The 25052-nt window shown below is 46.0% G+C and overlaps 2 protein-coding genes and 1 pseudogene across 9 annotated transcripts in view, besides 1 other annotated feature; 1 reads left to right on the top strand and 2 right to left on the bottom strand.

The window, feature by feature from the left end:
- The window catches only part of UBE2D4 (ubiquitin conjugating enzyme E2 D4), a 29701-nt gene extending 23867 nt beyond the window's left edge, over positions 1–5834 (bottom strand). For 5 of the 7 annotated variants that reach the window (NM_015983.4, XM_006715734.4, XM_047420461.1 and 2 more), the window contains exon 1: positions 5714–5834. In NM_015983.4, the coding sequence (NP_057067.1) occupies positions 5714–5737 (24 nt within the window). In that variant the 5' untranslated portion in view covers positions 5738–5834. Of the gene's footprint in view, positions 1–4158; positions 4257–5194; positions 5457–5713 lie in introns of those variants that run through there. The other 2 variants (XM_024446795.2, XM_047420464.1) reach the window with 2 other exon arrangements.
- Positions 5401–5940: a silencer, noted in NCBI's record as "silent region_18133". NCBI's record gives its function as "represses an Ori minimal core promoter by ATAC-STARR-seq in GM12878 lymphoblastoid cells {active_cell/tissue: GM12878}" and the evidence as "EXISTENCE:reporter gene assay evidence [ECO:0000049][PMID:35858748]".
- The window catches only part of URGCP (upregulator of cell proliferation), a 50814-nt gene continuing 31305 nt past the window's right edge, over positions 5544–25052 (top strand). The window contains exons 1-2 of one of the 2 annotated variants that reach the window (NM_001290076.2): positions 5544–6138; positions 21418–21539. The gene's annotated coding sequence lies outside the window, so the exon portion shown is untranslated. The remainder of the gene's footprint in view (positions 6139–21417; positions 21540–25052) is intronic. The other variant, NM_001077664.3, reaches the window with a different exon arrangement.
- Positions 12015–13628, bottom strand: TUBG1P (tubulin gamma 1 pseudogene; annotated as a pseudogene).

Genomic DNA, 25052 nt, shown 5'->3' with positions numbered 1-25052 from the left:
TGCCTGTAATCCCAGCACTTTGGGAGGCCAAGGCGGGTGGATCACGAGGTCAGGAGATCGAGACCATCCTGGCTAACATGGTGAAACCCCGTCTCTCCTAAAAATACAAAAAATTAGCTGGGTGTGGTGGCAGGCGCCTGTAGTCCCAGCTACTCAGGGAGGTTGAGGCTGGAGAATGGTGTGAACCTGGGAGGCAGAGCTTGCAGTGAGCCGAGATCGTGCCACTGCACTCCAGCCTGGGCGACAGAGCAAGACTCTGTCTCAAAAAAAAAAGTGTGTCATGGCCAGGCACAGTGGCTCATGCCTGTAATCCCAGCACTTTGGGAGGCCCAAGTGGGTGGATCGCTTGAGCTCAGGAGTTCAAGACCAGCCTGGCAACATGGCAAAACCCCGTCTCTACTAAAAATACAAAAAAAAGTAGCCAGGCATGGTGGCACACACTACTCCAGAGGCTGACACAGGAGAATCAGTTGAACCAGAGAGACGGAGGCTGCAGTGATCAGAAATTGCACCACTGCACTCCAGCCTGGGTGACAGAGACCCTGTCTCAAAAATAAATAAATAAATAAATAAAAGTGTGGAGCACCTCCCCTTGTTCTCTCTCTTGCTCCTGTTCTGGCCATGTGACATGCCTGCTCTGCCACCCCCCCCGCCCCCCCACCCCGGTTTGCCTTCCACAGTGAGTGTGAGTTTCCCCTCCTCTGAAGCAGAGCAGACACTAGTGCCATACTTCCTGTACAGCCTGCGGAACTGTGAGCCAATTAAAACTCTTCTTCCTAAATTACCTCATCTCAGGTTTTCTGTTTTGTTTGTTTGTTTGTTTTTTAAGATACGGTCTTACTCTGTCACCCAGGTTGGAGTGCAGTGGCACGATATCGGCTCACTGCAACCTCCACCTCTGTCTGGCTCAAGCGATCCTTCCACCTCAGCCACCTGAGTAGCTGGGACCATAGGCACATGCCAAGAACCATGCCTGTCTAATTTTTTCTATTTTTGGTAGAGCTGGGGTTTTGCCATGTTGCCCAGGCTGGTCTTGAACTCCTGAGCTCAGGCCATCCACCTGCCTTAGCCTCCCAAAGTGCTAGGATTACAGGCATGGGCCACCTCATCCAGCCTTCAGGTATTTCTTTTTTTCTTTTTTTTTTTTTTGAGACAGAGTCTCACTCTATCACCCAGGCTGGAGTGTAGTGGCATGATCGCTCACTGAAACCTCTGCCTCCCGGGTTCAAGCAAGTCTCCTGCCTCAGCCTTCCAAGTAGCCAGGATTACAGGCACATGCCACCATACCCAGCTAATTTTTGTATTTTTAGTGGATATGGGGTTTCACCATGTTGACCAGGACCTAACCTCAGATGATCTGCCCGCCTCAGCCTCCCAAAATGCTGGGATTACAGACATGAGCCACTGTGCCTGGCCAGGTATTTCCTAACAGCAATGCAAGAATGGACTAATACACGTATCAAAGAGAAAAAAAACCATTAAAAAATTGAAATGCTGCCACATATAACCCTGTCCTGGTTGAGAACAGTGGCTCACACCTGTAATCCCAGCACTTTAGGAGGCTGAGGTGGGAGGATTACATGAGCCTAGGAGTTTGAGACCAGCCTGGGCAACATGGTGAAATCCACTCTCTACAAAAAATTTTAAATTAGCCAGATGTGGTGGCAGGCACCTGTAATCCCAGCTACTGGGAAAGCTAAGTGGGAGGACTGCTTGAGCCCAGGAGGTCAAGGCTGCAGTGAGCTATGATTGAGCCACTGCACTACAGCCTAGGTAACAGAGCAAGACCCTGTCTCAAAAAACTAACTAACTAACTAACTAACTAAAAAGTGCATCTAAAAATATTCAATTTGAAACATTCATTTGAAAACATTTTTTTAAAGGGTTGAAGTTGGTTAGAAAGGGCTGTGGATTGGAAACTAAGGGGGCAGCTAGTAGACACCACACACCTGGCTCAGGCTTGCATACTGCTGGCTACCTGCTCAGCACCCATCCGCCTTCCTCCTTTCTGAAGGACTGCTGTTCAGTTCTGGTCAACTCACTGTCAGCTCCAGGTCTAAGAGTAACCAGACTCCTTGCCACTCATTGGTTTCGGAATGAGCATGAGACATAATTCATAACAAGGCAAAGGGAAAAAAAGATCTGCTGGGCTTTCTGAGAATATTCTTATCAGTTCTTCTGGAAGCAGTTGTCTCTATTACTCCCAGATGTCCAGCAGGCTGTGTGTTCCAGAGCCATTCAGCCCAGAGTGACACAGGAACAGACCAGGAGAGGGGGACTGAGTTGCTCCCAAAGTCCTGCCACAGGACCTCCAATTCCATGCACAAGGGCAGCTCAGCCTCTGTCACTTGCAGCCAAGACATCCTAACTAGTGGTGGCCCAATGGTGCCATCTCACCACGGCAGGCTTGACACACTTTTAAAGTTGTATTTCCTACAATTCTGTTGTTTTTCCCCAGGAATTGCTACAGAATTTGCAGGGCCTTGTGAATGTGAAAATGTAGGGTCTCAAGTTCGATAATTATTAAGAATTTCCTGATAGTGACAGCAGAGCATAAAACCAAAGGCAGAGCCCATCCAAGCCTGGGGCCCTGTGAGAGTGAATGCGTCACACACACATGAAGCCAGCCCTGACCTTGATTCTTGTTTTGCTTTTGTTTTAAGACAGGGTCTCACTCTGGTTGCCCAGGCTGGAGTGCAGTGGTGAGGCTCACTGCAGCCTTGACCTCCTGGGCTCAGGTGATTCTCCCACCTTAGCCTCCTAAGTAGCTGGGATTACAGGTGTGTGTCACCACGCTTGGCTAATTTTTTTTTTAATTTTTATTTACTTTTTTTTTTTTTTTTTAAGACAGAGTCTCGCTCTGTCACCCAGGCTGGAGTGCAGTGGCACAATCTCAGCTCACTGCAACCTCCACTCCTGGGTTCAAGCAATTCTCCTGCCTCAGCCTCCCAAGTAGCTGGGATTACAGGCATGCACCACCATGCCCAGCTAATTTTTTTGTATTTTTATTACAGAAGAGGTTTCAGTAAGTTGGCCAGGCTGGTCTCAAACTCCTGACCTTAAATGATACACCCGCCTTGGCCTCCCAAAATGCTGTGATTACAGGCATGAGCCACCTCACCCGGCCATTTTTTTATTTTTAGTAGAGATGGAATTTTGCTGTGTTGCCCAGTTGGTCTCCAACTCCTGGACTCAAGCAATCCACCTGCCTCGGCCTCCCAGAGTGCTGGGATATAGGCATGAGCCACTGTACCCAGCCTGTCCTTGATTCTTATCAAGGAAAAGTTCTCCCTGGCCTTATGATTTCAATTACCTTGGATCTATAGTTGACATTTCATGCTCAAGGCCCAAACTTGTTTTTCCAAACGCTCCCTTTTATAAATCTTATCAGCCTACACATTTGAATATGTAGGCTCAAACCTTTATTCCTTAATCTCTCCTACCCTCCTCCCTGCCTTCAAAACTTCTGATTCCCCATCCTAGACACTGACACCACCATCCACTAAGTGACCCATTTTGTACACCTCCTTGTTTCACTTTCACCACATCCTCTCCTCGAGTCCTGTCAATTCCACTTCTGCAATGTGGTCCAGGCACTGCTCTGGCCTAGCATCCATTCCATGGTCATTAATTTGGACAAAGCCTCTACTGAACCTTCACAACAGCCTCTAGTCTCCCTCTGTCCCACTTCCGGCCACACTGCTGCCAGAAAGATCTTTTTAGAACACAGATCTCAGCATGTCATTCACCTGCTTCAAAGTCCTAGGATGACAGATGACCCCTTTCAGAGAATAACTCATCAGAATTATCTCTCTTTTGGACAGCTATTTATTTAAAAAAAAAAAAAAGAGTCATACTCTCAGAGATCCTGTAATTCCACCTCTGGCAATCAAACCCAGTAATGTGAATTAAGGAAAAGGCTCATTGTACAATGATGGTTGATCTGGTTTGGATATTTGTCCCCCCCAAATCTCATGCTGAAATGTGATCGCCAGTGTTGGAGGTGGGGCCTAGTGGGAGGTATCTGGGTCGTGGGGGCGGATTCCTCATGAATGGCTTGGTGGCCCCCCCACAATAATAAGTGAGTGCTCACTCTATTAGTTCATGTGAGATCTGGGTGTTTAAAAGAGGTGGCATCTCTCTTGCTCCCTCTCTTACCAGGTGACACGCCTGCTTCTCCTTTGCTTTCTGCCATGATTGTAAGCTTCCTGAGGCCTCACCAGAAGCAGATGCTGGCACCATGCTTCTTGTACAGCCTGCAGAACCGAGAGCCAAATAAACCTCTTTTCTTTATTAATTACCCAGCCTCAGATATTCCTTTATAGCAACACAAAACAGACTAATACACAGTTCGTAACAGCAAATACTTAGTGAAGAATTTTGAACAATAACAGCAGCTAACTCGTATTGAGTGTTTGGTATACAGCAAGCATGTGCTAAACACATTTCATAGCATTTAATTCTCAAAACAACTCTGTAAACATGTAGGACTGGGAGGCTAGGAATGATAAAGTGCCTTGCCCAAGGTCCCACTATAAGTGACCTCACATTCTCTAACCCAGGTCTGTCTGACACCCAAGTCCATACTTTTACCTACTACAGGTAATGACTAAATAAGTTACTAGTCATGTACTTGTGGAAAGTTAATGTTAAAAATTAGTTATAGGACTGGGCATGGTGTCTCACGTTGTAATCCCGCCACTTTAGGAGGCAGAGGCAAGAGGACCGCTTAAGCCCAGGAGTATGAGACCAGCCTGGGCAACATATCGAGACACTGTCTCTACAAAAAATAAACAATTGGCTGGCATGGTGGCATGTAGTCCCAGCTACCCAGGAAGCTGAGGAGGGAGGATCACTTGAACCTAGAAGGTTGAGGCTGCAGTGAGCCATGATTGTGCCACTGTACTCCAGCCTGGGCGATACTCCAGCCTGGGCGACAGAGCAAGACCTCAAAAAAAAAAAAAAAAAAAGTTATAAATACTACTTCACAACATGCTTACATTTACTATTATGTGAATAAGTGGAATACAAAATGCAGTATAATTGTTTTAAATATAGAAAAAAAACTGAAGGTAGGTATGCTAAAATGTTAACAAATAGTAAAGTGATAGAATTAGAAATACTTCTTTCTTCTACTGTTGTGCGTTTTCCAAATTCTAGTGAATGCATTAAACCCTCATGGACTCCCTCTTACCTGCAGGATAAAAACCAGTTACTTCAGCACTGCTCCTAAGGACCACCCAAGTCCACACCATCTGCCCTTCAGCTTCCCCGCTACCCTGTCAGTCCTCCAAGCCTCGTAGTCTCCCCGTTGCAGGGAAAGCCTTTTCCCCTTTTCCCCACCTGCCGAGTTCCTACTCATCCCTTAGGACCCAGCTTCTTCCTGGATACCCTTCTGGATACCCACCCAGCCCTTCTGGATACCCTACAGGGGGAACCCGCTGTCCAGAAGCCTGCAGGTGGCCCCACGGCGCCCCGCCCGCATGACGCAGCCCTCGTGGCCACGGCCCGGCCCCGCCCCGCGCTCGCGCAATCCCTTTCTCAGGCTGCGTTCGCTTTTCAGGCTGCGCGGGAGGCTGTTCTGCCTCCTTCCCAGGCAGGTGTATCCGCGACTCGCGGAGCCTCCGTCACCTTTCACTTCACGGCAGCGGCGCCCCGCCCACACCTCGACGCTTCGGACACCCAAAGAGTTGGAGGGTGGGAAAGTGCGTACCTTCTGGATCCGCTTTAGCGCCATCCTACCCCGCTGCCGGGGACCCGGGCGGCCCGGCCGGGGCTGCCTGAGGCGGCCCGCTGCCGGCTCAGCCGCCACCAAGCTGCACGCCGGGAGCCGCAGCCTGCGCTTGCGCGCGCGGGGCACTGTGGGGCCGTCGTCGCCGCGTGCCGAGCGTCCTGGCGCGGCCGAGGGGAAGCAGCGGGGCTGCCCGGGTTACGCTGGCCACCCGCACCTGGTCCTGTGGCTTCGACCACTAGTCAGCAAGGCCCCGGAGAGGCCAGCGAAGAGGAGGGGCTCGTTGGCTTTACGGAGACGCGCGGAGCACCCTCAAGGTGCCACACGCTCGCCTGCTCCCTGTTCCTACATCCTGGGCGTCTTCCCAGGCTGTCATATAACTCCTGAGAATAGTGGTTCTTAACTCTGTAAGTATATATACCCTCGTACGCCTTATGGCTGGATGCGTTACAGCCATTTCCATGTAGATGTCTGTGCATACGTTCACACGCAAAACTCTCCGCAGTTTTGGAGATCTCCGTGTTCAGTCGTACCTCACGTGATCTTGCACTGCCAACATTGAGAACCCTGGCCTTAGACTATGCATCTCCCAAACTTAATTATCTGTCTCCTTCCTATTTTCCCAAGACTTGGCAGGCGTCTAGGTCAGAGTTGTTCAAACTGAGGGTTATGAACTAGTGTGTCACGAAATCAATTTAATAGGTTGCAACCAACATTTTTTTGAAAAAAAAAAAAAAAAAGCCAGACGAGGTGGCTCACGCCTATAATCCCAGCACTTTGGGAGGCCGAGGCAGGCGGATCACTTGAGGTCAGGAGTTCGAGACCAGCCTGGCCAACATGCTGAAACTCCGTCTCTACTAAAAATACAGAAATTAGCTGGGCGTAGTGACGTATGCCTGTAATCCCAGCTACTTGAGAGGCTGAGGCACGAGAATCACTTGAACCCAGGAGGCAGAGGTTGCAGTGAGCTGAGATCACACTGTTGCACTCCAGCCTGGGTGACAGAGCGAGACTCTGTCTCAAAAATAATAAAAAATAAAAATAAAAAAACAGAATAAAATATCAGTGCATTTCACATAGTAAAGGTAAGAATTGTGGAAGTTTTGTTGGTGTGTGTATGTAGATGATATTTAATCTTCAGACTGAGACATGTTTGAGCATGAAAGTGGCTGTTAATATAATTACTCTGGGACCAACGCTGTAATCTAGAATTGTCTCCAGCCAGCCAAGACACATGGTCACCTCTATGTTTGTACTCAGTCAGCATATAAAATGTATTATAGACATTTCAATAGTTGCCCAGCTTTGTCCCTGGCTTTCACGCTCCCATTCCCCCAATCTGTCCTCCACACAACTTCATGAACTGTCTGAAATATAAAGCTTACCACACTGCATCCTTACCCAGAACTCTTCAAGGAAGCCCCGTGGCCTACAGCATCACATTCACTGTCATCCAGGGGCCTTCAAAATCCAGGATCCTCGGCCGGGCACAGTTACTCATGCCTGTAATCCCAGCACTTTGGGAGGTTGAGGTGGGTGGATCCCTTAGTCCAGGAGTTCTAGACCATCCTGGGCAACATGGTGAAACCCCGTCTCTACAAAAAATACAAAACTTAGCTGGGCATGGTGGTGTGCACCTGTAGTCCCAGCTACTTGGGAGGCTTACTTGAGCCCAGGAGATCAAAGTTGCAGTGAGTTGTGATGGCACCACTGCACTCCAGGCTGGGAGACAAAGCAAGACCCTGTCTCAAAAAAACAAAAACTCAAAGTATCCTCCAGCTTTACCTTCTCCTTCCTACCTCCAGCCCACCTGACTATCAAGTGTTTCCATCACCACAGCATCTACATTCCTTGACTAGAGCATTCACCTTCCAAAGCCAGCTCAAGCATCACCCATTGAACAGCCCAAGTCAAGCACTTCCCCTTGGTGTCAAACATTGACAACAGAAATTTTTGTTAGTCCATGGGCCATCCATCCTCCTACATTATTGACATGGCCTTCCCTCCCCATAAAACAAGTGATTCTAGATTTTATAAATGTTGATATATTTGTGTAAGAATATATAAATGGTTATTTATGTGCTAATAATGTATATGGTGGTTTTGAAGTCTCAAATCTCAAAAATATTACTTTTGGATGGTAGGTTTACTAATGTGTTAATCTCTAAAATTTCTACAGAGAATTTGCATCATTTGTATAATTCAGGAAAAAAACATATAATAGAAAATGAAAAATTCTGTTTCTATTCCCTGTTGGTAGTTTAGTGCATAGTTTTCTAAACTTTTTAGCATGCTTATATGTAATGTTTCATTTTTAACATTGAAATAATTTTAGATGTACAGAAATGTTGCAAGAATAATACACAATTGGTCAGGTGCAGTGGCTTATGCCTGTAATCGCAGCACTTTGGGAGGTCAAGGCAGGTGGATTGCTTGAGGCCAGGAGTTTGAGCTCAGCCTGGCCAACATGGTGAGACCCCATCTCTACAAAAAATACAAAATTTAGCCAGGTGTGGTGGCATGCACCTGTAGTCCCAGCTACTTGGGAGGCTCAGGCTCAATAATTGTTTGAACCCAGGAGGCAGAGATTGCAGTGAGCTGAGATTGCACCACTGCCCTTCAACCTGGGCAACAGCGAGACTGTGTCTCAAAAAAAAAATAATAATAATACACAAAAGATTTTTAAATGGATAAATTTGACTACATGAAAGTTTAAAACTTTTGTGCTTCAAGCAATACCAACTAGAAAACAAAAAGACAACACACAGAATGCGAGAAAATGTTTGAAATAATAATATCTCAGTACAGTCTAAGATGCAGAGTATATTAAGAACATTTAGAACTCAATAAAAAAGACAAATAACCCAATTAAAAACTGGGCAAAAGATGTGAATAGAAATTTCTTCAAAGAAGATACTCAACTGGACAATAAGCACATTTTAAAAAAATCAGGCTGGGTGTGGTGGCTCAGGCCTGTAATCTCAACACTTTGGGAAGCTGAGGTTGGAGGATTGCTCGAGGCCAGGAGTTTGAGACCAGATTGGGCAACATAGCGAACCCCTGATTCTACAGAAAAATTTAAAAGTTAGCTGGATGTGGTGGTGTGCATCTGAGGGCACAGCTATTCGGGAGGTTGAGGTATGATTATTGCTTGATTCCAGGAATTTGAGGCTGCAGGGAGCTATGATTGAGCCACTGTACTCCAGCCCAGGAGACAGAGCAAGACCCTGTCTCTTTGGGAAAAAAAAAAAAAAAAAGGCTGGGCACAGTGGCTCACACCTGTAATTCCAGCACTTTGGGAGGCCAAAGAGGGCAGATCATGAGGTCAGGAGTTTGAGACCAACCTGGCCAATATGGTGAAACCCCATCTCTACTAAAAATACAAAAATCAGCTTGGCATGGTGGTGCATGCCTGTAATCTCAGCCAGTTGGGAGGCTGAAGCAGGAGAATCGCTTGAACCTGGGAGACAGAGGTTGCAATGAGCCGAGATTGTACCACTGCACTCCAGCAGCCTGGGCAACAGAGCGAGACTCCTTCTAAAAGAAAGAAAGAAAGTAAGAGAGAGAGAGAGGAGAAAGAGAGAGAAAGAGAGAAGGAAAGAAAGAAAGAAAGACGGAAAGAAAGAGAAAGAAAGAAAGAAAGAGAAAGAAAAAAAAATGCCTGGTGTGGTGGCTTACATCTATAATCCCAGCAGTTTGGGTGACTGTGGTGGGAGGATCACCCAATCCAGGAGTTCAGGACCAGCTTGGGCAACATGGCAAGACCCCATCTCTACAAGAAAAAAAATTTTTTTTCTTCACCAAAAGCAGATACTTGAAAAAATTTTAAGAATTAGTAGAGCATGGTGGCGCATGCCTGTAGTCCCAGCTATGATTGCTTGGGCCTAGGAGGTTGAGGTTGCTGTGAGCCCCATTCACGCTACTGCATTCCAGCCTGGGAAACAGAGCAAGACCCTGTCTCAAGAAAATAATAATCATGAGTTATAAGGGACATGCAAATCAAAGCCATAATGAGATACCACTTCACACCCTCTAGGATGGCTGTAATTAAAGGGACAGACAACAAGTGTTGACAAAGATGTGGAGAAGTTGGAACCCTCACACATTCTGGTGCGACTATAAAATGGTGCAGTCATTTTTGGAAAAGAGTTTAGCAGTTCCTCAGAAAGTTAAGTGATACCAAGTATGGTGGCTCACACCTGTAATCCTAGCACTTTGGGAGGCCAAGGCAGGTGGATCACCTGAGGTCAGGAGTTCGAGACCAGCCTGGCCAACATGGTGAAACCCTGTCTCTACTAAAAATACAAAAATTATCCAAGTGTGATGGTGCACACCTGTAATCCCAGGTATTCGGGAGGCTGAGGCAGAATCGCTTGAACCTGGGAGGTGGAGGTTGCCAGGAGCCAAGATCGCGCCACTGCACTCCAGCCTGGGTGACAGTGCGAGACCCACTCTCAAACAAACAAACAAAAACGGAAATTAGCTGGGCATGGTGGCCTGCACCTGTAATCCCAGCTACTTAGGAATCGAAGGCAGGAGAATAGCTTGAACCTGGGAGGTAGAGGTTGCAGTGAGCCAAGATCGTGCCACTGCATTCCAACCTGGGCGACAGAGCGAGACTCCCATCTCAAAAAAAAAAAGAAAAAGAAAACCTCGTGCTTGTATTTCAATGCTCAATTATTTACAGAAAAACATAATACCCTTTTGAATTTAGTGTTCACACACAGAATTTCTTTTGCAAGAAACCTTCCACAACTTGTTTAAACCTTTAGCTTTATCTTATCTAATTTAAAATAATCCTTTAACCCTAGACAAAAATTTCCATGTCCATTCCTTCTTAGAACATTTTACTGAGATTATATGATTAATGATTATTTGCTAAGATTAAGAGCCTTACCGAGTCCCTTGCCAAGTCCTGGGCCTTGCCAAGTTGTAAAGTAGGCAAGTTGAACAGTTCTCAAAGTCCAAAGAAGAAGTTTATAACTGTAAAACATTTAGCAAACCTAATATCTGTCCCGTATAATTTAGACCACCTGTTCACATTTGCATTTTACCAGTAATCTTTAAGACTGTTTTTATTTCTCAAGGATTAAAGTCACATGAACTAAAAGGTATTACAGCTTTTATTTTCCCTTCAAAAATATCTGATCAAAGCACTTATTTTCCTTTAGGCCAGTTAATTAGACCTCTCTCTTTTTTTCTTTTTTTTTTTTGAGACGGAGTCTCGCTATTTCGCCCAGGCTGGAGTGCAGTGGCGTGATCTCAGCTCACTGCAAGCTCTGCCTCCTGGGTTCATGCCATTCTCCTGCCTCAGCCTCCTGAGTAGCTGGGACTACAGGTGCCCACCACCACGCCCGGCTAATTTTTTTGTATATTTAATAGAGACAGGGTTTCACCGTGTTAGCCAGATGGTCTCGATCTCCTGACCTCGTGATCCGCCCGCCTCGGTTTTGCAAAGTGCTGGGATTACAGGTGTGGGCCACCGTGCCCGGCCTAGAGCTCTCTTTTTTACAGACATCACACACAACACATATAACTGCACAGACAAACAGCAGCAGATCCAGTAGTTACAAGATTTTCTGTTCACCAATCTCCTAATTGGACTATTGGCCTCGAGTGGGGCCCTTTAAGAGCAGGGCTAGGAAAGCATGCAGTTTTCAGGGCCCAATACATGGGGATAGCTGGAAGACAAAAACAGATTTTGAGGGGGACCTATCTGCTTTTAATTGCTGGGTTTTCATGAGAAAAACAGAGGTTTTTCCCAAAATGGCATGCATGGCACCTTTTCTGTTCTTCTCAAGGAGTCCCAGGCCATCAGAAATTATTTTAGGGCCTCGTGCATGCATTAAGGGTAGCAAGACAAAATGGAGAAAAGGAATTCAGTCAACTGAGAAAAAAATCTTTTTCCAGAAAAACAAGATCCAAAAAGAGAAAAACATAAAGGTTTTAAAAATATCCACTTTTTTTGTTGTTTTTGAGACAGAGTCTCGCTCTGTTGCCCAGGCCGTTGTGCAATGGTGCGATCTTGGCTCACTGCAACCTCCGCCTCCCAGGTTCAAGCAATTCACCTGCCTCAGCCTACTGAGTAGCTAGGACTACAGGCAAGTGCCACCACACCCAGCTAATTTTTTTTGTATTTTTAGAAGAGACAGGGTTTCACCATGTTGGCCAGGCTAGTCTTGAACTCATGACTTCAGGTGATCTGCCCACCTTAGCCTCCCAAAGCGCTGGGATTGCCAGTGTGTCACTGCACTCCCCTCAGATATCCACTTTTTAAAAAAAATTTATTTATATCCACTGCTTTATTAAAGATAAATAGTCTCATAAGAGGAGAAGTAATGTGTTCGCAGACTAACAGAAAATGCATGTATATGAGAAAGAGATGTGTGAGGTCCCTGATCTGTGCTCTAAGTGAGTGGTCAGTCAGGCAGGGCCTTGGTCAACCAGTAAGGCAGATGAGGGTCCCTGTCCTAGGGGACTCACTGCTCCTGGGTGCCCCAGGAGATGTAGTCTGGCCATGTGGCCATGTGGTACTCATCCATGAGCTGCTGCACAATCTCCCTAGATGTGTTGTGTCCATCTCATCAAAGTTGTCCTTGAACATGTCCTCCTTGCGGAACGGCTCCAGGAAGGCCTCCCACTTCCGCAGCTTGTCATATTGGCGACAGGTTCTCTAGAAGAGTGAGGAGATGCTGGTGTGGTTGGCCATCATGCGCCCACTGACCCGGTGGGCCAAGGGCAGGTAAGGAGACTTCCTCGACAGGGCCACCTGGATGCTGGTGGGGCCCAACAGGATGAAGTTGGCCAACTTCCATTCCCGGATCCTCTGCAGGCTCTTGTGGACCTGGGTGGGGTCCACCTCTCCCTGGATGGTGTTGAGGATGGTGATGTAGGAGTGGTTGGTCTGGCGGTCTCGGCCTGTGGATACCATCACGTTCTTGGGCTGCAGCAGCCACCTCATGACATCCAGGACCATGGTCTTCCTCACGCTGGCCACTGATTGGTCCATAGTCAGCTGGGTGTAGCCAGTCATGAGAAAGTGGAGCCATGGGGTGGGAATGAGTGAGGCGATGAGGCCTATGAGGTCATTGTCCATGTAGCTGGGGTAGCGCAGGGTGATGGTGCTGGCCGAGATGATGGTGGACACCAGCTGGTTGGTCTGAGAGAAGGATGGGTTCTGGATGTGCAGGATCTGGTCTGTGGCAATCTGGTTCAGGGCTGTGTTGTGCAGCACCACCACACAGTCTGCGTTCTGCATCAGCCTCTTGAGTGTGAGGAGTGAATTATAAAGCTGGACCACCACGTTGCTCATCTTGTCCTGGTTGGGAAACACTGAGTATGTCTGCACCAGCTTCTTAGGATACCTGTCATTCAGCCATTCTAAGAGGTAGGAGCCCAGGCCAGAGCCTGTCCCCCCAGCAATGAACTGACACAGCACAAAGCCATCTAGATTGTCACTACCATCTGCCTCCTGGTCTGTGATGTTAAAAATGTCCTCATGGATCTTCTCCCTCTGGGAGAATCTGCTGGCCCAGTTGTTGCCAGCTCTTCCCCCATGCTCCGACAGGTAGATGTTCTCTGGGTTGTAGAGCTTGGCACAGGGGGAGTTGAGGATGGAGTGGATCACCTGGGGCTCCAGGTCCAGCAGCACAGCCCGGGGGATGTAGTGCTCATCGTCTGCCTGGTAGAAAAAGATGTCCTTGTGGTCAGTGCCCTCAGTAGCGAACTCCTCCATGGTGCCCTTGGGGCTGATACCATGCTCAGTGCACAGCTGTTTCCAGAACTCGAACCCAATCTGATTGCTGCACTGGCCCAATTGTGGGTGATGATTTCTCTTGGTATCGCTCCTCAGGCACCAGAGTTGCAGCCGCTCCCACCCGCAACGCTGCCGCGTGCCAGCCCCCCAGATATCCACTTTTAATTAAGCTGAGCGCTCTTTAAGAAAATCCTATTTTGGGGTCTGGGTGTGGTGACTCATGTCTGTAATCCTAGCACTTTGGGAGGCCGAAGTGGGCGGATCACTTGAGGTCAGGAGTTCAAGACCAGCCTGGCCAACATGGTGAAACCCCATCTCTACTAAAAATACAAAAATTAGCTGGAAATCACTTGAACCCAGGAGGCGGAGGTTGCAGTGAGGCAAGATCATGCCACTGCACTGTAGCCTGGGCAACACAGCAAGACTCCATCTAAAAAAGAAAAGAAAGGAAAGGGAAAGGAGAAGGGAAAGGAAAGGGAAAGGAAATCCTTTTTTTCTTTCTTTTTTTTTTTTTTTTTTTGAGGTCTATTGCCCAGGCTGGAGTGCAGCAGTGTGATCTCCACTCACTGAAACCTCTGCTTTTTGGGTTCAAGTGATTCTCCTGCATCAGCCTCCTGAGTAGCTGGGATTACAGGCACCCACCACCATGCCCAACTAATTTTTGTATTTTTAGTAGAGACAGGGTTTCGCCATGTTGCCCAGGATGGTCTAGAACTCCTGACCTCAAGTGATCCACTTGCCTCAGCCTCCCAAAGTGCTGGGATTACAGGCGTGAACCACTATGCCCAGCTGTGTTTTTTGTTTTGTTTTGTTTTGTTTTTTGAGACGGTCTTGCTCTGTCACCCAGGCTGGAATACAGGGCACAATCATGGCTCACTGCAGCCTCAACCTCCTGGATTCAAGCAACCCTCCCTCCTCAGCTTCCTGGGTAGCTGGGACTACATGCCACCATGCCCAGCCAATTTTTTATTTTTTATAGAGACAGGGTCTCACTATGTTGCTGGAATATAGGCATGAGCCACCACACCTGGCCAAGAAAATCCTTTTAAATCCTTTATTACCCAACATTAGCCATGCCAAGCAGCCAATATTTCTGGCTTCTGAACATTACCAAAGGTAACCTCCCAGGTGTTCAGAGAAAGGAAAATTTAAGGTGGTTCATGAAGGGGAAGAGAATCAACAAATGATAAAGGTCACAAAGATATCAAGCCAGAAAGGACTCATTCCCTAAGCCAGGATTGAACCCGGGCTGCCACTGTAAAATGGCAGAAGCTAAAACAAAGCACTGCCATGTGGTTACAGGTCACGCTTCCAAGGACGTAAAACCAGATGGAGGCCTGCAGCAAAGTTTGCCACTGGCCAGTTTGCTGGGCTTGCTTCAACAGCAGGCCTATGGAGTCCTAGACCCACATCCCATCCCAAGGTACCCCTCTTTCTGACAGAACTATACGGAGAGACATGCAGAGCACACCAGCTTGGCTACAGCTTAAGACCAACCTCACAAATCCTTTTTTATTAATTAAAACTTTACAGATAATATAAACAGTGATCCTTATCATTCCCTTTCTGGTTTGTTTAGGGAGACAGAGGTCAAAATCCTGACTGGTTAAAACAAAAAACAAAAAAACTCCTACCCTTTTGCTGACATGTCAGGCTTCTGAGTTCCCTCCCTGCTGAGCTCAATCCCAAGCCAACCAGTTTAAGGTTTAGGAAATTAACTTCTCCCAGTTTGGAGGATACATCCCAGGAGAGCATCCCACAGCATGGGGACACAATCACCCATCTGTAAAGAGAGGACAGAGGAGGAGAAAGGAATAAGAAGGCATTTATTTAAAGGAGCCCCAGGACTCAGGATGCATTTGAAAGATGTATGCCTACTCATCTAGAAAGAGGGGAGCAAGGCGTCCCTGGTTCCCTTCTCTTCCTAGCAAATACCCGAGGTACATGAGGGAGAGAAAGCAAGGCGTCCCTCTTTCTTTTGTCCTTGTATCCCTGAGTCCCGGCAACCATGACAGGATGCCTCCCATGGGTGTCAAAGTGGCTTTCACCCATGTTATGTGGGGGGGGGGGGTGGGTAGGGAGTGGGATTATCTGCTCTTACCCATATATGCCTTATCTTCTCTGTTGTCAATAGCCTTTGCATTCCCTAGACCTCATTTATGCCATGGATACTAGCATGACCTTTATCCATGAAATGAGGCTTGGCTTAATCCGCAGAAATTAGTCATGCTTACCTGTGCTGTACCTTTTCACTTCTGTTGTCGTCTGCCTCTGGATCCCTCAGATCCAGTTTTCTTTCCTAGGGCTTCGATCCAAAGCTTGGAATTGAGTTTGGGTCAAAATAACTGCCTCAGGATGTTGCATGGACTCCTTACCAAGCTGAATGCTAAGGTCAAGCTGTGGAATTGAGTCCTTCTCCAACAAGGGAGAGAAAAGGGGTGTCTTCTGAGTTGGGATCCTGGCTGAGTAAAACATCTTCTAAAAGGAAAAAAGCCTGTAGCGTAGAGAAGCCCCCTCTACTTGCAGGGCCATGTTATTGGGTTGGTGCAAAAACAGTCACAGTCCTCGCCGTTCTAAGTAATAGCAAAAACTGCAACTACTTTTGCACCAACCTATTCCTGGCCTGGTGGAGAAAAGGAAAAGAAAAACAGCGTAAATGCAGGGCTTTGTTAACTGCTGACAGGATGGAGAAAAGAAAAAGATGCCCGGAGAACAAACCTTTTATTCTTATGCAAATGAGTTTCTCCAACAGGGAGAGAAACTTTTTTTTTTTAAGATGGAGTTTCACTGTTGTTGCCCAGGCTGCAGTGCAGTGGCACAATCTTGGCTCACTCCAGCCTCCACCTCCCAGGTTCAAGTGATTCTCCTGCCTCAGCCTCCCGAGTAGCTGAGATTACAGGTGCATGCCACCATGCCCGGCTAATTTTTGTATTTTTAGTAGAGACGGGGTTTCACCATGTTGGCCAGGCTAGTCTCAAACTCCTGACCTCAGGTGATCTGCCCGCCTCAGCCTCCCAAAGTGCTGGGATTACAGGCATGAGCCATTGCGCCTGGCCAAGAAACTTTTAATTGCTGTTTCTACCCTGGGGTTTGGACTGAGCTGGACCCCTCAGCAGGAGGAGGGGAAGACTCCATGGTATGTGGTGTGGAACACTGGACAGACAGCTGCATGGGGCCCTTGGGCCATGAGCCCCAGCCCCAGCTGGGAGGGGCAGGGAGCCACCACTTGCCTGTCCGTCCCATGCATGCATCTGCAGCCATTGAGGTGGGGGTGGAATACCCCCAATATTGTAAAAGATAAGTGCCATTACAGTCCTGCAAACAGAAGGAAAATGCCATAGAAAAGGCTGAGTTGGACCAAGGCTGACATTCCCAGTCCCTGAGAGCAATGGGGTGAGGGGGTGCAGTTTCCTCTATCCTCAGAAGAAGGCTGAGGACAAGAAAGCTCAAAAAGGAAAGGGAAACAGATTTTTTTGGTGTGCATTTTACTCATCCCTCCTCATGTCCCTGTATGGGCCACCAAAATGATGCAGGATTTTTTGCTCCTTAGCTCCACTAAATCTGGGTTCTTGTCTCACAACTAGGAAAAATTAGGCACACAGACACCTGTGAAAGGTGAGGAGAGCAGAATTTATTAAAAGAAAGCTCTCATCTCAGCAAAAAAGAGAGGGTCCTGCCAACAGGCTCCCACCTCACAGATTGAATACCAGGCCAACACACATGAGCTGAAGAGGCCAGGCTCCTCTCCCAGCATAAGGGGTGAATTCCTGGTGGCTCCACCCCCATTCTTCAGTGCGCATGCGGGCCGTTAGTCTGAGCCACTCCACATTGATTTCCCTTACTGCATTTGTGTTAAGGGACAGAATTTTTCACCATGGGCATGTTTAGGGAAGTACCCTGTGCACCATGACCTGTGCGGCATATGGCTGTCTCCTATCTCTATCAGTAGTATCAGTAAAGAGATAGAAAACCTACAAAGAAACCGAAAAATAATTCTGGAGCTGAAAAGTATAATAACAAATAAAAAATGCACTGGAGGGATTCAAAGCAAATTTGAACAGAGAAAAGAATCTGTGAACTTGGAGATAGAACAATGGAAATTACCAAATCTGAGGAACAAAACCATCTGGGGATGCAGTCCAGTAGGTCTCAGCCTTATTTTACTCAGCCTCTATTCAAGATGGAGTTGCTGTGATTCAAATGCCTCTAACACAAGTGAGATGAACTCAGAGAGGAGATCCACACTGACACATAATTAAACTCTTATTTTTTATTTTTTTGAGACACTCTCATCCTGCCACCCAGGCTGGAGTACAGTGGTATGATCTTGGCTCACTGCAACCTCCATCTCCCAGGCTCAAGAGATGCTCTCACCTCAGGCACCCAAGTAGTTAGGACTACAGACATGCATTAGCATACCCGGCTAAATTTTTTTTGAGGGTGGTTAGAGATGCGGTTTTACCATGTTTCCCAGGCTGATCTCAAGCTCCTGGGCTCAAGCAATCCACCCCACCTCAGCCTCCCAAAGTGCTGGGATTACAGGTGTGAGCCACCACACCCAGCCATAATTAAACTTTCAAAAGCCACCCTGGCAAAACCCGTCTCTACAAAACATACAAAAATTAGCCAGGTGTGGTGGCAAGCACCTGTAGTACCAGCTACTTAGGGAGCTGAGGCCAAAGGATTGCTTGAGCCCAAGAAATCAGCTTGAGCTAATATCACGCCACTGCACTCCAGCCTGAGTGACAGAGCAAGATAGTCTCTATAAAAAAACAAATAAAATAGGCCAGGTGCAGTGGCTCACACCTATAATACCAGGACTTTGGTAGGCCAAGGCAGGTGGATCACTTGAGGGTAGGAGTTCAAGACCAGCCTGGCCAACATGGTAAAAACCTGTTTCTACTAAAAATACAAAAATTAGCTGGGCGTGGTGATGTGCACCTGTAGTCCCAGCTACTTGGAAGGCTGAGGCAGGAGAATCACTTGAACTAGGGAGGCGGAGGTTGCAGTGAGCCAAGATCATGCCACTGCACTCCAGCCTGGGCAACAGAGCGAGATTCCATCTCAAAAATAAATAAATAAATGAAATAAAATAAAACTTTCGAAAGCCAAAAACAGAGAATCTTGAAAGTGTGAAGAGAGAAGTGATTCATCATATTTAAGGGCTCTTTAATAAGATTATCAGCAGATTTCTCATGAGAAACTTTTAAGGCTAGCAGGCAGTGGGGTGATATATTTAAAGTGCTTAAAGAAAATAACTGTCAGGGCCAGGTGCGGTGGTTCACGCCTATAATCCCAGCACTTTGGGAGGCCGAGGCAGGCAGATCACAAGGTCAGGAGATGAAGACCATCCTGGCTAACACGGTGAAACCCCGTCTCTACTAAAAATAAAAAATAAAAAAAAAAAATAGCCGGGAGTGGTGGCAGGCGCCTGTAGTCCCAGCTACTCAGGAGGCTGAGGCAGGAGAATGGTGTGAACCCAGGAGGCGGAGCTTGCAGTGAGCCGAGTTCGCGCCACTGCACTCCAGCCTGGACCACAGAGCGAGACTCCGTCTCAAAAAACAAACAAACAAAAAAAACTGTCAACCAAGAATCTTATATCTGGCAAATTGTCCTTCAAAAGTATGGGAGAGGCTGGGCGGGATGGCTCATACCTGTAATCCCAGCACTTAGGGAGGCCAAGGTGGGTGGATCACTTGAGGTCAGGAGTTGGAGACCAGTCTGGCCAACATGGTGAAACCCTGTCTCTACTAAAAATATAAAAATTAGCTGGGCATGGTGGCGCATGGCTGTAATCCCAGCTACATGGGAGGCTGAGGCAGGAGAATCTCTTGAACCCGGGAGGTGGAGGTTGCAGTGAGCTGAGATCATGCCACTACATTCCAGCCTGGGCAACAGAGTGAGACTCTGTCTCAAAAAGAAAAAAAAAAATTGAAGGAGAAATTAAGACATTCACAGAAAAACAAAAGCTGAGGGAATTCATTACCAATAGACTGGTCCTGCAAGAAATGCTGAAGGGAGTCATACAAATTGCTACAAAATATTAAAGAATAAATACATAAAAGGAAAGACATCCTATGTTGATGGGTTGAATTGGAAGACAATATTGTTAAGATGTCACTATTACCCCAAGTGATCTGCAGATACAATGTAATCCCTATCAAAATCTCGATGGTTTTGCAGAAATAGAAAAACCCATCCTAAAGTTCATATGGAATCTGAAGGGATCCTGAACAGCCAAAACAGTTTTAAAAAGAACAAAGCTGGAGGACTTACACTTCCTGATTTTGGAGTCTTGCTCTGTTGCCTAGGCTGGAATGCAGTGGTGCAATCTCAGCTCACTGCAACCTCCATCTCCTGGGTTCAAGCGATTCTCCTGCCTTAGCCTCCCGAGTAGCTGGGACTACAGGCGTGCGCCACCACGCCTGGCTAATTTTTTGTATTTTTAGTAGAGACAGGGTTTCACCATGTTGGCCAGGCTGGTCTGGAACTCTTGACCTCAGGTAATCCAACAGCCTCAGCCTCCCAAAGTGCTGGGATTACAGGCATGAGCAACCACGCCCGGCCCATATTACTTTAATTTTTATTATTTCCCTCCTTTTGCTAGCTTTGGATATAGTTTGCTCTTCATTTTCTTTTTCTTTAAGGTATAGAGCTAAGTTATTGAGTTGAGATCTTTCTTTGTTTTAAATATAGGCATTAAAGTATAAATTGCCCTCTTAGAACTGACTGCACTGCATCCCATAAGTTTTGGTATATTTTATTTTTTTTCAAGGTATTTTCTAATTTCCTGTGTTTTTTTTCTTTTGGTCCATTGGTTGCTTAAGGGTGTTCTTTAATTTCCACACATTTGTCAATTTTCTAGTTTTCTTCCTGTTGTGAGGTCTAGTTTCTAGTTTCATTCCATTATGATCAAAAAAGATACTTTATATGATTTTATTATTTTATGATGTATTAAGGCTTGTTTTGTGACCTAACATATGGTCTATCTTGGAGAGTGTTCCATGTGCATTTGAGAAGAACATGTATTTTGCTGTTGTTCAGTAGTGCTGTGCATATGTCTGTTAGGTCCTATTTATTTATTTGAGACAGAGTTTCACTCTTGTTGCCCAGGATGGAGTGCAATGATGAGATCTTGGCTAACTACAACCTCCACCTCCCAGGTTCAAGCAATTTTCCTGCCTCAGCCTCCTAAGTAGCTGGGATTACAGACATCCACCGCCACGCCTGGCTAATTTTTTGTATTTTTAGTAGAGACGGGGTTTCACCATGTTGGCCAGGCTGGTCTTGAACTCCTGACCTCAGGTGATCCACCCTCCTCAGCCTCCCAAAGTGCTGGGATTACAGGCGTGAGCCACCGCGCCTGGCCCTATTTATTTATTTGAGATGGAGTCTCGCTCTGTCACCCAGGCTGGAATCGGTGGCATGATCTCAGCTCTCTGCAACCTCCACCTCCTGGGTTCACACAATACTCCTGCCTCAGCTTCCCGAGTAGCTGGGATTATAGGTGTGCGCCACCACACCCAGCTAATTTTTGTATTTTTAGTAGAGAGGAGGTTTCACCATGTTGGCCCTACTGGTCTCGAACTCCTGACCTCAAGTGATCCACCTGCCTTGGCTTCACAAAGTGCTGGGATTACAGGTGTGAGCTACCGTGACTGGCTGGTCCAGTTTATTTATAGTGCTGTTCAGGCTGTCTATTTTCTTATGGTTCTCCTGTCTGATTGTACTATTATTGAAAGTGGGGTATTGAAGTTTCCAACTTTTATTGTAGAAGTCTGTATTTTTTCTCTTTAATTCTGTCAATGTTAGCTTCATATTTTTTGGGGATCTTTTGTTTGGTGCATACATGTTTATCATTGTTATGTCTTCTTAGTGAATTGACTCTTATCAATATGTAATGTTCTTTTTATTTATTTATTTTTATGAGAAAGAGTCTTGCTGTGTCACCCAGGCTGGAGTGCAGTGGTGAAATCTTGGCTCACTGTGGCTTCAGCCTCCCAGGCTCAAGAGATCCTACCATCTCAGCCTCCTGAGTAGCTGGGACTACAGGTATGCATTACCACACCTGGCTAATTGTGTTTATTATTTGTAAAGACAAGGTCTTACTATGTTTCCCAGGCTGATCTCAAACTCCTGGGCTCAAGTGATCCTCCCACCTCAGCCTCTAAAAGTGCTGGGATTAAAGGTGTGAGCCACCATGTCAGGACTTTTTGAAAAAAAATTTTAGTGTAAATTTTTAATAAAAAGATGGGACCAGGCATGGTGGCTCACATCTGTAATACCAGCACTATGGGAGGCTGAGGCAGGTTATTGCTTCAGCCCAGAAGTTTGAGACCAGCCTGGACAACATGGGGAAATCCTGTCTCTACAAAAAAAAAAAAAAAAAAAAAAAAAAAATTAGCCAGACATGGTGGCACATGCCTGTAGTCCCAGCTACTTAGGAGTTTGAGATGGGAGAATCACTTTGAGCTGGGAAGTTGAGGCTGCAGTGGGCCATGACTGCATCACTGCACTTCAGCCTGGGCAACAGAGTGAGACCGTGTCTCATAAATAAATGAATAAACAAATAAATAGATCAGTTCTCACCATGTTGCCCAGGCTGGTCTTGAACTCCTGGCCTCAAGTGATCTTTCTGCCTTGGCCTCCCAAAGTGCTGAGATTATAGGTGTGAGCCACAATGCCCAGCCTACAATTTTCTTATATGTCTCTTGTAACAGGGTGTCTTTTATTTTTTTTGAGATAGAGTTTGGCTCTTGTTGCCCAGGCTGGAGTGCAATGGCACGATCTTGGCTCACCACAACCTCTGCCTCCCGGGTTCAAGCAATTCTCCTGCCTCAGCTTCCCGAGTAGTTGGGATTACAGGCATGTGCCACCACGCCCGGCTAATTTTGTATTTTTAGTAGAGAACAGGGTTTCTCCATGTTGGCCAGGCTGGTCTTGAACTCCTGGCCTCAAGTGATCCACCCATCTCAGCCTCCCAAAGTGCTGGGATTACAGGCGTGAGGCACAGCACTGGCCAATTTTATTTATTATTATTATTTTTTAAATTATTTTTTATTTTTATTTTTGAGATAGTCTGTCACCCAGGCTAGAGTGCAGTGGCTGCAGTCACTGCAGCCTCCACCTCCTGGGTTCAAGCAATTCTCCTGCCTCAGCCTCCTTAGTAGCTGGGACTACAGGCACACGCCACCACACCCAGCTAATTTTTGTATTTTTAGTAGAGATGGAGTTTCACCATGTTGGCCAGGCTGTCTCAAACTTCTGACCTCAAGTGATCCACCCGCCTCGGCCTCCCAAAGTGCTGGGATTACAGGCATGAGCCACCGTACCTGGCCTAAAATACTGGTTTTTAACCTATGAAGTTGGCAATGATTTTGAAAAATTGTAAAAGTTACACAGTGTTTTGGAAAACTAGGACTATCAGGTGATTGTGCTGGGAAGGCAATCTGTATATATGTGTGTATATGTTGTGTATGTGTATATTTGTGTGTCTGTATATATGTGTGTAGGTATATGTATACATATGTGTGTATGTGTATTATGTATTTAAGTATATGTATATTAGTGTGTTTGTGTATGTGTGTAGGTATACACATACACATACACAGAGTATATATGTTTCAGAAGAGCCTTAAAATACTGATATCCTATTGATCTAGAAATTCAACTCTTCAAAATTTGGCATAAGGAAATAATCATTGATGTTTATGGGATGTTTTGGCTATAAGGATATTTATTACTCACATTCCTTATAATAATGAAATACTGGTAGCAATATTTATGTCCAACAGTAGGGGTTGGTTAAACATGATGGTCTAACCATATAGTGGGATGCTAAAATTCATGTTAAGTGTACGGGCCACGGGAAAGTTTCTCCTTGCCCTCTGAAGATTTACTGAAAAATCAACTCACAAAAAGCAGATTAATTGAAGAAAAGGCATACAAATTTTATGAATGTGTGCACAGGGAGAATTACAGAATGATTTCCCACCACCCAACAAGGTTCAGAAGCTTGTAGACCATCTTGGCAAAACAACTTACAGGAGGGGAGAAAGAGGAATTCTTTCAAGGGGCAATAAAGGATTACTAGGGAGAAGGAATGGATCAGGGCACAGAGATTAACTTGTACGCTATCCTATGAAAGGGTCTTTTCAGGTGTGGTTACATTCTTGGTCTTACAGGGAGGGCAAGAAAAACAGTTGTTCTCCTTGGAGGGTCTGGACTTTAAGCAGATAAAGACATTTTCTGTTTTGGGAGAAACCAGTGGGGAGGGAGATCAGAGAGACCTTGAGACTTCTTCAGTTCAGCTTGTTAAAGTGCCATATTTTGGGGTTATTGGTTTCTGAACCAGATTTTATGTCAGTAAACATGTATTCCTTATGTTTAAAAGAATGCTTATTTAGGCCAGGCATGGTGGCTCACGCCTGTAACCCCAGCACTTTGGGAGGCTGAGGCAGGCAGATCACCTGAGGTTGGGAGTTTGAGACCAGCCTGACCAACATGGGGAAACCCTGTCTCTACTAAAAATAGAAGAATTAGCCAGGTGTGGTAGTGGGCGCCTGTAGTCCCAGCTACTGGGAGGCTGAGGCAGAATTGCTTGAACCCGGGAAGTGGAGGTTGCAGTGAGCCAAGATCTCGCCATTGCACTCTGGCCTGGGTGACAGGGCAAGACCCTGTCTCAAACAAACAAAGAAAAAATTCTTTTAGTTTGATCTCCTTCATTTCATTACTCCCTTGAATCAGGCATTTAGGATTTAGGATTTCCCATTCCTCAAACTCTTCCTAACTCTGGTCCTCCTGGATTTGTCCTTATTTTGGGTGTCACAAGTTCGCGTGGCTTTACCTATCAGCTCCCATTTACAGAGCATTAATTATCTTCTGAACTCAAGGTAGCAGTTATGAATTTCTTTACCGAAGAGGACAAGGAGGCTCAGAAACATTGACTGGATTCTCCCAGGAGGAAAAGAGACCATGCATCACGCAATGTTTACTAACATTTAAAAATAGTTACAAATGTTTACAAATATTAATTCATTTAATCTTCACAGAGAGGAAGGGACTTATTTTTAGCCTTATTTTTCAAATAAGGAACTGTGGCCCTGGAAAGGTTCTATCTTGCAGGGGCTCCTGGGGCTGGTAATTGGTGGAGCCCAGATTCCAACACAGGTATTCTGGCTTCAGAGCTAAGGTTTTAATCACTGCTTTGCTGTCTTGTATTCTTAATAGTAGTAAACATTTTTAAATAGTGGTTGTTAATGATATTTTACTTTTAACTTTAATTTTATTTTTAAAAATGAAACGGGCGGGGCGGGCAGGGGGTCATCTCAATATGTTGCCCAGGCTGATCTCAAACTCCTGGGCTCAATCGATCCTCCTGCCTCGGCCTCCCAAAGTGGTGGGATTACAGACGTGAGCCACTGCGTTCGGCCAGTGATATTTAATATAATACTAAAAATGTTATCAACAATGGTTTACATTGTCCAGAGCTTTTTATTAAGCATTTTCACTTAGATCATTTTTGGAAACTCATTTTGCAGAGAGAAGAACTGAAGCTGAAAAATC

The sequence above is a fragment of the Homo sapiens genome, chromosome 7 (genome assembly GCF_000001405.40).
Source record: "Homo sapiens chromosome 7, GRCh38.p14 Primary Assembly".
Lineage (NCBI taxonomy): Eukaryota > Metazoa > Chordata > Mammalia > Primates > Hominidae > Homo > Homo sapiens.
This window is presented reverse-complemented; position numbering and strand designations above follow the sequence as displayed.